This window comes from Homo sapiens, chromosome X (assembly GCF_000001405.40).
Source record: "Homo sapiens chromosome X, GRCh38.p14 Primary Assembly".
Classification (NCBI taxonomy): Eukaryota; Metazoa; Chordata; class Mammalia; order Primates; family Hominidae; genus Homo; species Homo sapiens.
Window position 1 is genome coordinate 70,649,816 of NC_000023.11, and position 12,524 is coordinate 70,662,339.

At 36.6% G+C, this 12,524-nt stretch overlaps 1 protein-coding gene across 7 annotated transcripts in view; it reads right to left on the reverse strand.

Annotated features, from left to right (window-relative positions):
* TEX11 (testis expressed 11) overlaps positions 1-12,524 on the reverse strand; it is a 397,485-nt gene that overhangs the window by 138,589 nt on the left and 246,372 nt on the right. For all 7 annotated transcript variants that reach the window (XM_017029649.1, XM_017029650.1, XM_017029651.2 and 4 more), the window contains one exon: positions 1,635-1,737. In XM_017029649.1, the coding sequence (XP_016885138.1) occupies positions 1,635-1,737 (103 nt within the window). The remainder of the gene's footprint in view (positions 1-1,634; positions 1,738-12,524) is intronic.

Here is a 12,524-nt window from a genome sequence, read left to right on the forward strand (position 1 = left end):
TTTTACAGCACCTTTATTCACAATTGTCAAAACTGAAAACTTTGAACTTGTCTCAGAGGTGAAAAAAAACCCTGAAAACCATTCAAATATCCTTCAACTGGTGAATGCATTTTTCCATACTGTGGTATTTCCATACTATGGAATGCCACATAGCAATAAAAAAGAACAAACTGTGGATAAACACAATATGGGTGAGTTTCAAATGCATTAAGTTAAGTGAAAGAAGCTCAAAAAGATTCATACTATATGATTTCATTTATATGACATTCTGGAAAAGACAAAACTATAGAGATAGAAGAGATTACTGATTTCCAGGGCTGAAAGTGGTGAGAAGGAGTAACAGTAAAGGGCCCTGAGGTATTTTTTTTCTACATTGTGGTGGTAGTTATATGACTGTATGCACTTCAAAACTCAGAATTTTTAACATATATAAACCTCATAGGACCATACACTAGCAAGAGTAAATTTATTATATGTATCTTCAATATACGTGACTTAAAAAATGGTCACAGACAACTGGAGAAGAAATAAAAGGGTTGATCTGATGTTGTATTTAAAAAGTAAAATAATTTTTAAAAAATAATGTTAAAACAAAAGATTTAACAGGAAAATTACTAATATTTTTGCCATTTTTACTGGCAAAAAAGCTTCAAGTTATTTTACCCTTAAACACAGTATATCAAGTAAAACAAATGCCTAAAAGTCTCTAATGAAAACTTTGATGATGAACATGACAGCAATATTAACCTCTAATTTACTATTCCTTAATTATTATACAGGTATACTTTACTATTCTGGAACATTTCTTTTTTAATGTAAAATAAATGATCTTTTTTCTTAAGGAGTGAATAACAGAGTCCTTTGTACGTAGTAGGTGTCCAAAAACAGTTGCTTAATTGGATTCGTATACATTTTGTTTGGATCCATTAATTTAAGTTTCTTAACTTCTGCCAAACAAATGGCAACCAGTCTGGAGCTCAGACTCCTTCAGGATTAATTCAGCTACCTGAGGGCTGAAGGCATTAATATCTGAGCAAAGGCATATCTATAACCAATTCAACATATATGTGCCCATGCAGACACACCAGCTAGGAAACTATGCTTAACTTAATGGAAAGGCCTCAACATTAATGGGATGAGGGTCATGTGTGAAATTCCAAGACTGTCTACTCTGTGGAGAGAAACTCCATCTCAAGGCCAAATCTCTCACCAATCACCTCCCAAATAAGTGAAAACAATCAAAAGGTACCCCAACTTTCATTTTTTGAAGACAATTCTTAACTGATATGGGTTTTTAGTATAATCTCACCCACACACAGCTTTTTAAATTTAATTTTTGAATAGGTTGGTTTAAATAAAAGTATAAAAAAGTACATAGTGATAAGACTTTCCCCTAATTCTTGTCCCGCGTTTGCCCAGTTCCTATTCCCTCAATAGGTAACCACTGTTCTTTTACTTTTATATAACCTTCCACGGTTTCTTTTTGCATTGTTGTATCACCTTTACATAGGAAAGACAGAACATATATTCAATTCTATTGTCTTAAAAACAATGTTTTTTTCCCACTGTGGTTGAAGAGGATTATTTATTCTTTGTGTTAATAGTCAAATATAAGTGACAAATAAAATTTATACCTCTTTCAGAGTTGCCCTCTATGACTGCAATCTTGAATATATAAAATTGAGTGAAAACGTTCCTAGGGTCATGTCGTTCAGCTTCTGCCACTGCCTCTTTGGCCTGGAAAGAAAAACACTGGGTCATTTTAATAAAATCTACAAGGAAGGACTTACCATATTTTACTAATATCATTAAGGTAGTCAAAATGGCTGAGGGATACTCACAATGAAAATATATGAATCTAAGAAAAATATTTGCAGAAGTGCTCTTCTAGAATGCTAATGCAACAGTGAGTTATACTTCTGGAAATAGAGTAAGTTAGATATGTCAGACCAACCCTCCTGCTGAAAACAACCAAAAATATTGGATGATATATTAATTTTTTTCCAGAAAGAACAAAAGAGCAACTGACAAATAGCAAAAGAATTACCAAGGCAAAATCTAAGGAAAACTGAGGTCTCAGAGAGGTAAACAGAAAAGTAAAGTCGCTTTTATCTGGTAAGCATTTGCAAATGTAAGCAAATGTTAACTTCAGTTTTGAGGGACATCACTAGGTCAGGGGAAAAGACATCAAGTTCCAAGGGATCACACTCCTAGACTAGGGACAAGCCAAAAGTAAACCCACTCCTACCCACATCCCTGGAAAACTGCAAATAAAGTTACCTTAGTACTGAATAGAAGGCAGCACAATGGGGTGGAGGGAAACAATCCATGAGGTGTAATACTAGGAGACTCATGTATTCACTGACCCAAACTACATTATACAGGAAGCTAAAAGACCTAAAGCTGAGAATTTAGTTTAGATAGCTCCCAAGCATCTACAGAAGCAAATGTAAATCTTCTCTGGGGGAAAGCACCTTATGTCAGCCTTCGAAATATTTCCATAAATAATTTTTCAAGAACCATGAGTTGTACACGTTACAAAAATAACAAAGCACACTCGGAAACAAGGTACCATAAACAGCAGAAACGAGATAGCAGAAGCAGACCCTCAAGATGCAGATACTAGAATTATGAAAAACTGGTTATAAAACACCTATGTTTTCAAAGTCTAAAGAAATACAATGTATGTTCAAAATATATGTATGTGGGTTGATACACAGTGGTACAAATTAATACAGTTATAGTGGTTGTTTCTAGATGGTATCCATTCTGTCTCATTATTACCTGTGCCATACCAGTTATTAAATACTTTGCATATCAGTGAAGTTAGTAGGAAACAGAGACCATAAAATGTGACCTTGGGGATCTGAAACAAAGAAGCTTTTTGAAATGAAAAACCCAATTACCCAAATTAAAACATAATAGACAGGTTTAATAGCAGATTAGAAACAGGTGAAGAGAAAATTAGTGGGCTGAAAGAATAAAATAGCCAAAATGCAGCACAGAGCGATTACAAACATGGAAGACAGTTAAGAAAGGATTCTATACTTTCTAGGATAGCCACTAAAAGATTAGAAGCAGTAAATAATTTTCACACTAGTAGAAGGGGAAGACTGCAATGAAAAAAAAAATGAAAATAGTATTTTTAACAACTGGTGCTGGAACAACTAGACATCCACATGTAAAAAAGTAGAGCTAGACACAGACCATAAACCTCTCACAAAAATTAACTGAAAATGGATTATAACCTAAATATAAAAACCCAAACTATAAAACTTTTAGAAGATAACATAGGAGAAATTTTAGGTGAACTTTGGCAATGACTTTTTAGACACAACACCAAAACCATATCTATAAAAGAAAAAACTGGTAAGTTAAACTTCATTAAAATTAAAAACTGCTCTGTGAAAGACAGCATTAAGAGAATAATGATAAAAGCCACATATTGGGAAAAAATATTTGCCAAACACATATGTAATGAAGGACTGGTATTCAACATGTATGAAGAATTCTTCAAATTCAACAATAAGAAAATAAACAACCCAAGTATAAAATGGGCAAAAGACCTGAAGAAACACTTCACTAAATAAAATATGCAGATGGCAAATAAGTATATGAAAAGATGCTTAACATCTTATGTCATTAGGGTTTTGCAAATTAAAACAGCAATGAGATATCACTATGCATCTATTAGAATAACTAAAATTCAAAACACTTTAACGACATATAATGCTGGCAAGGATGTGGTGCAACAGGAACTCTCATTCATCACTGGTGGGAATGAAAAATGGTATAGCCAACTTGGAAGACAGTTTGGCAGTTTCCTACAAAACTAAACATACTCTTGCCATACAATCCAGCAGTTGCACCTTTGGTATTTATTCAAATGTGTCAAAACTTATGTCTACACAAAAATCTACATAAAGATATTTATAGTAGCTTTATTCATAACTGCCAAAATTTGGAAGCAACTAAGATGTTCTTCCATAGGTGAGTGTATAAACTAATATATCCAGATAGTGAAATATTATTCAGCACTAAAAAAAATTAACTACCAACCCATAAAAGGACATGAAGGAATCTTAAATGCATATTGCTAAGTGAAAGAAACCTATTTGAAAAGGCTACATACTGCACGATTCCAATTATGTGACATTCTGAAAAGGCAAAACTATGGAGACAGTAAAAAGATCAGTGGTTGACACTAGTTCAGTGAGAGGGAGGAAGGGATGAATAGTTGAACCACAGGGGGTTGAACTATTCTGTATGGTATTATAATGGTAGACACTTTTTTATACATTCATCAAACCACATATGATGTACAACACAAAGACTAAATCCTAATGTAAACTACGGACTTTAGTTAAAAATAACATATCAATATTGGCTTATTAACTGTAACATATATAGCACACTAATGCGAGATGTTAATGACAGGGGAAACAGTATGTGAAGAACCGTGAGGGGGTATATGAAAACTCTCTATATTTCCTACTCAATTTTTCTGTAAACCTAAAACTGCTGTAACAAGTAAAGTCTATTATTTAGAAACATTGATCCCGAAGAAGGCAAGTGAGGAGAGAAAAAGAAACAGGATAGAAATGACAAATAGAAGCCGGGCACGGTGGCTCATGCCTGTAATCCCAACACTTTGGGAGGCTCAGGCAGGCAGATCCCCTGAGAACAGGAGTTTGAGACCAGCCTGGCCAGCATGGTGAAACCCCATCTCTACTAAAAATATAAAAATTAGCTGGATGTGGTGGCACACATCTGTGATCCCAGCTACTTGGGAGGCTGAGGCATGAGAATCACTTGAACATGGGAGGCGGAGTTTGCAGTGAGCAGAGATTGTACTACTGCACTCCAGCCTGGGCATAAAGTGAGACTCTGTCTCAAAAAAAAAAAAAAAAAAAAAAAGAAATGACAAATAGAAAGCATAAAGTAAGTTACAGATTTAAACTCAGATATACCAATATTGTATTAAATGTATAAACACGAAATGCCCTAGTTAAAAAACAAAAATGGTCAGACTGGATTAAAAATATGTAACTACATGTTTTTTAGAAGTGGCACACCTAAAATATAAATGTATTAAAAGTTCAAAGTAAAGGGATTAGAGAAGATCTATCTGGAAAATATTAACCAAAGTGTGGATATATTAATATCAGACAAAAATGACTTTAAGGCAGAAAATAATACTAGATATAAAGAAGATCACTGCATAACAATAAAACTTCAACAAACAAATATATTACAGTACTAATTTTGTATGTATAAGTAGTATGGCCTAAAATATATAAAGCAAAAATGATAAAATTAAATGAAGAAATAGATCAATTCAAACCATAAAGGGATATTCCAGCACCTCATCTCAGTAAGTGATAGAGTAAGTACACAAAATATGAGTTTTGATACAGAAGATTCAAATAAAATGAACAAACTTAATCTAAATTTATACATGTGTGTATATAGGTGGTCTCCGTCTTATGATTTTTTGACTTTACCACGGGTTTATCAGGATGTAACCACATCGTAAGTCTGGGAGCTCCTTACAACTTATGACAGGGTTATGGTTTCTACTAAATGTATATTGCCTTTACATCATTATAAAATCAAAATACCATTAAGTTAAACCATCATAAGTTGTAGATGCCTGCCATTTTGCCAGCATTAACTGCATTTTCACCTTACGATATTTTCAACTTATGATCAATTTATTGGGATATAACTCCATCGTAAGTCAAGGAACATCTGTACATATATGTACATACACAGTGCCTAAAAACTGCAGAAAACACATTTTTTTCAAGCACACACAGAATATTTACAAAAAGTGACCATTTACCTAACCATTAAGCAAATCTAGTCTAGGAAGAATCCTCTACTAAAGTCTTCAGAGAGAGCATAGCTTTATCGACACCTTGATTTTGGACTTCCAGCCTCCAGAACTATAAGTGTATACATTTCTGTTGTTTTAAGCCACACAGTTTGTAGTGCTTTGTTATAGCATCCCTAGGAAACTAATACCGTATCTATACAACAACAACACAAAAAAACCCTAAAGCAAACATCATATTTAATGGCAATTTATGGTAGCTTTCCCTTTTAAATCCAAAACACCACTTTAATTCAACATAGTGGTTGAATTATTAGACAAAATAAGACAAGAAATATATAAAGCATATTGAAAAAGAAGAAACACAATTGTCAATTTGTATAATTGAATATGTAGACAACCCAGAAGAATTTATAAGCAAATTATTACAATTATTAAGAGACTTTAGCAAAGGTAGCTGTGTATATATATATATATATATGCCATATGAGGCTGGGCATGGCTGATCATGCCTGTGATCCCAGCACTTTGGGAGGCTGAGGTGAGAGGATCATCTGAGTCCAGGAGTTTGAGACCAGCTTGGGCAACATAGTAAGACCCCCGTCTCAACAAAAAAATTTTTTTAAATTAGCCAGGCATGGTGGTGCATGCCTGTGGTCCCAGCTACTCAGGAGGTTAAGGTAGGAGGATTACTTGAGCCCAGGAAGTTGAGGATGCTGTGAGCTGTGTTTACACCACTGCACTCCAGCCTAGGTGACAAAGTGAGGCCCTGTCGGTAGGTAGGTAGGAAGAAAAAAAAACTATACAAAATGATTCTGGAAATATGTGGTAGAGGTAACATTTCTCTGAATTCTCATGAAAAACAACTGAGCATGCAGATGGCAAAACCAAAAACCACAGACAGCGTTTATAACAAAACTGAGTGACAAAATATCCCGAGGCATTAAGAAACACAAGTGGGTGGAGAAAAAGCAACAACAGCTACAAGACCTGCATTATGTCAGCATCTGTACAGGATGAAGAAAAAAAAGGAAGTAATAGGGAAGCGTCTAATGGACTATATAGAAAAGGAGGACCCCAAAATTGGCTTGTAGAAATCAACTGAATAGCATGATGGGGAAACTGGAGAACAGCAGTTGAAATTGGGAGATAATTTGCTTTCTCCATTATTGAGTGAGTGCAAGGACCTCATATCAAAGATGTACTAAAGAAGCGATAGTAGTCTAGGCCCTATGAACCCTTAAAGCTTACCCACTAGAGCTCCCCTCTGAGAGGCTCCACACTAAGGAGAAACTGCTGAGAGTACAATAAAAAACTGAACAGGACAGTGACAACAAAGATGAAAGAAAAAGTATAGATCAGTGTTGTCCAATAGAGTTCTGTGATGATGGAAATATTCTATATTTGTGCTATTCAATAGAGTAGTCATTAGCCACACATGGCTATTTAGCACTTGAAATGTGGCTACTGCAATTGAAGAAATAAATTTTTATAACTTTATTTAATTTTAATTAATTTAAACTTAAACGTACATAGCCACACATGCCTCATTGCTATCATATTGGACAGTGTGGGTGTACACCAAAAGACAGAGAGAAGCAGAGCCAGGAAATCTCAGAATAAAAGCTGCCTTATTTTTAAACACTAACAAACCAAACCAAACCAAAAACAAAAAAGGGAGCTCTGTGAAGTAGTAACACTTTCTAAATGTCTACCTTTTTATAAGTTAAGGAAAACTAATTTCACATCAAAATGAGAAACAGTAAAGCTTTAAGGTAAATACCCTAAAAAGTTGTAAAAAATTAAAAAAAAAAAAGCAGCAGCAGCATCAGCAGCAGCAAAGTATCCCCACAGAAAATGAAAGCATGTCAGAAAAATGTGCTCAAAAAACAGGTCAAAATCATAACCGACTATTTAAAAATGAGCTAAACACATTTAAAAATAAATCATGCTGCTATAAAGACACATGCACACGTATGTTTATTTTGGCACTATTCACAATAGCAAAGACTTGGAACAAACCCAAATGTCCAACAATGATAGACTGGATTAAGAAAATGTGGCACATATACACCATGGAATACTATGCAGCCATAAAAAAGGATGAGTTCATGTCCTTTGTAGGTACATGGATGAAATTGGAAATCATCATTCTCAGTAAACTATCGCAAGGACAAAAAACCAAACACCGCATGTTCTCACTCATAGATGGGAATTGAACAATGAGAACACATGGACACAGGAAGGGGAACATCACACTCTGGGGACTGTTGTGGGGTGGGGGGAGGGGGGAGGGATAGCATTAGGAGATATACCTAATGCTAAATGACGAGTTAATGGGTGCAGCACACCAGCATGGCACATGTATACATATGTAACTAACCTGCACATTGTGCACATGTACCCTAAAACTTAAAGTATAATAATAAAAATTTAAAAAATGATACAAGATATGAAAGATCAACCTAAATAAGAATTAGCGGTGGGGCGTCGTGACTCACATCTGCAATCTCAGCACTTTGGGAGGCTGAGAAGGGCGGATCACCTGAGGTCAGGAGTTCCGCCTGGCCAGCCTGGCCAACATGGTGAAACCTCATCTCTACAAAAATACAAAAATTAGCCGGGCACGATGGCGGGTGCCTGTAATCCCAGCTACTCGGGAGGCTGAGGGAGGAGAATTGCTTGAACCTGGGAGGCGGAGGTTGCAGTGAGCCGAGATAGCACAACTGCTCTCCAGCCTGGGCGACAGAGCGAGACTCAGTCTCAAAAAAACAAACAAACAAACAAAAAAACCCATAGTAATAATTAGAAAAACTCAGAAATGAGGTGGTAGAGCTAAGGAAAATATTAGAAGTAAAAGAAGTCATTTCAGAAATGAAGACTAACAAGAAGAAAGTCAAAAGTAAATAAATACAGCCAATAATGCCAAAAGAGACTAAAAGTCAAAAACAAGAAAAAATTTGAAGTTAAGAAGGAATGAAGATAATGTATATTTTACCACAGTAAAAGATAAACACTGAAAAATGAAGATACCCAAAGTGATCTACAGATTCAATGTAATCCCTATGACAATTCCAAGGGCATTTTTTTTTCATAAATAAAAAAACCCATCCTAAAATTCATATGAAGTTTCAAGGGATCCTGATTTCAAGACTTAGCTATGAAGATATAGTAATCAAAACAGTATAGTACTGAGATAAGGACTGACATATAGACCAATGGCATATAATAGAGAGCCCAGAAATGAACCCTCACATATATGGTGAAATGGTTTTTGACAAGGGTTCCCAAACTATTCAATGGGAAAAGGACAGTCTTTTCAACAAATGGTGCTGGGAAACCAGGATATCCACATGCAAAAGAAAGAAGCTGGATCTTTACCTTATATCACACATAAAAATTAACTCAACATGGATTAAAGGTGTAAACATAAGAGCTAAAACTATACAAGTCTTAGAAGAAAACACATGCGAAAATCTTCATGACATCGGATTTGCAAATGACTTCTTGGATATGACACCCAAAGCACAGTCAACAAAAGAAAAATCAGATAAATGGGCCTCATCAAAAATTTTTTAAAATCTACTGTTCTTCAAAAGACACTAAGAAAAAGACAACCCACAGAATGGGAAAACATATTTGCTAATCATATTTTGGTAAGGGGTTAATATCTGAAATATATAAATAATTCCTACAATTCAACCACTATAAAATACAAATCCCAATTAAAAATGGGTAAAGGACTTCAACAGATGTTTCTCCAAAGAAGATACACAAATGGCCAATAAGCACATGAAAATATGTTCAACATCACTGGTCATTAGGGAAATGCAAATCAAAAACACAATAAGAGAACACTTCAAACCCATTAGGATGGCTTTTATCAAAAAACTTAAAAACAGTGAGTGTTGACCAGGATGTGGAGAAATTGGAACACTTGTGCATTACTGGTGGGAATGTAAAATGGTACAACCATTGTGGAAAAAAGTAGGATGATTGTTCAAAATGTTAAATACAGAATTACCACATGATCCAATGATTATATTATTAGGTAAATACTCAAAAAAACTGAAAGCAGGAACTCAAAAAGATACTTGTAATATCTATGTTCATAGAAGTATTTATTCATAATAGCCAAAATGTCAAAGCAACCCAAGTGTCCAATGAATAGATGAAAGGATAAACAAAATGTGGTACAGTCATGTGTCACTTAACAACAGGGGTACATTCTGAGAAATGTGCCATTAGGCAATTTCATCTTTGTGTGAACACCATAGTGTACTTACACAAACTTAGATGGTATAGCCTACTATACATGACTATATGGTATAGCCCATTGCTCCTAGGCTACAAATCTCTACAGCATGTGACTGTACTGAATACTGTAGGCAATTTTAATGGTAAGTATTTATATATCTAAACATATCTAAACCTAGAAAAAATACAGTAAATATAGGGTATAAAACATAAAAAATGGTACACTTGTATAGGGTACTTACATAAATGGAGCTTGTAGGACTGGAAGTTGCTCTGGGTAGTCAGTGAGTGCTGAGTGAATGTGAAGGCCTAGGATATTACTGTATACTACTGTAGACTTTATAAACAGTGTATACTTAGGCTACACTCAATTTATAAAAGGATATTTTTCTTTCTTCAATAATGGAGTTTACTGTAACTTTTTAACTTTATAAACTTTTTAATATTTAAAAAACTTTTTAAGTATTTTGTAATAACACCGAGCTTAAAATACAAACATTGTACAGTTGTACAAAAATTTCCTTTTTATATCCTTATTCTACAAGATTTTTGATTTTTAACACTTTAAAATCTTTTTTGACTTTTCAAACTTTTTGTTAAAAACTAAGACATGAGCAAACACATTAGCCTAGACCTACACAGGCTCGGGATCATCAGTATCACTGTCTTCCACCTCCACATCTTGTCCCACTGGAAAGTCCTCAGGGGCAATAACATGCATGGAGCTGTCACTTACTATGATAATGCCTTCTTCTGGAATACTTCCTGAAGGACCTGTCTGAGGCTGTTTTACAGTTAATTTTGTTTTATAATTTTGTTTTATATACTCTAAAATAGCAATAAAAGGCTGGGCGAGGTGGCTCACGCCTGTAATCCCAACACTTTGGGAGGTCAAGGTGGGTGGATCACCTGAGGTCAGGAGTTCAAGACCAGCCTGGCCAACTTGGTGAAATCCCGTCTCTATTAAAAATACAAAAATTAGGGATGGAACCAAGATGGCCGAATAGAAACAGCTCCAGTCTACAGCTCCCAGTGTGAGCGACACAGAAGACAAATGATTTCTGCATTTCCAACTGAGGTACTGGGTGCATCTCACTGAGGATTGTTGGACAGTGGGTGCAGGACAGTGGGTGCAGCACACCGAGCGTGAGCTGAAGCAGGGCGAGGCATTGCCTCACCCGGGAAGTGCAAGGGGGTCAGGGAATTCCCTTTCCTAGCCAAGGAAAGGGGTGACAGACGGCACTTGGAAAATCAGGTCACTCCCACCATAATACTGCACTTTTCCAAGGGTCTTAGCAAACGGCACACCAGGAGACTGTATCCCACGCCTGGCTCAGAGGGTCCTACGCCCACAGAGCCTCGCTCATTGCTAGCACAGCAGTCTGAGATCAAACTGCAAGGCGGCAGCAAAGCTGGGGGAGGGGCGCCCGCCATTGCCCAGGCTTGAGTAGGTAAACAAAGCAGCCCGGAAGCTCGAACTGGGTGGAGCCCACCGCAGCTCAAGGAGGCCTGCCTGCCTCTGTAGACTCCACCTCTGGGGGCAGGGCATAGCCAAACAAAAGGCAGCAGAAACCTCTGCAGACTTAACTGTCCCTGTCTGACAGCTTGGAAGAGAGTAGTGGTTCTCCTAGCATGCAGCTGGAGATCTGAGAATAGACAGACTGCCTCCTGAAGTGGGTCCCTGACCCCCAAGTAGCCTAACTGGGAGGCACCCCCCAGTAGGGGCAGACTGACACCTCACACAGCCGGGTACTCCTCTGAGACAAAACTTCCAGAGGAATGATCAGGCAGCAACATTTGCCTGATATCCACTGTTCTGCAGCCTCCGCTCTGATACCCAGGCAAACAGGGTCTGGAGTGGACCTCCAGCAAACTCCAGCAGACCTGCAGCTGAGGGTCCTGTCTGTTAGAAGGAAAACTAACAAACAGAAAGGACATCCACACCAAAACCTCATCTGTACATTACCATCATCAAAGACCAAAGGTAGATAAAACCACAAAGATGGGGAAAAAACAGAGCAGAAAAACTGAAAATTCTAAAAATCAGATTGCCTCTCCTCCTCCAAAGGAATGCAGCTCCTCATCAGCAACGGAACAAAGCTGGATAGAGAATGACTTTGACGAGTTGAGAGAAGGCTTCAGACGATCAAACTACTCCGAGCTAAAGGAGGACATTCAAACCCATGGCAAATAAGTAAAAAACCTTGAAAAAAGATTAGACAAATGGCTAACTAGAATAACCAATGCAGAGAAGTCCTTCAAGGACCTGATGGAGCTGAAAACCATGGTACGAGAACTACGTGGAGAATGCACAAGCCTCAGTAGCCGATTCGATCAACTGGAAGAAAGGGTATCAGCGATGGAAGATCAAATGAATGAAATGAAGCGAGAAGAGAAGTTTAGAGAAAAAAGAATAAAAAGAAATGAAAAA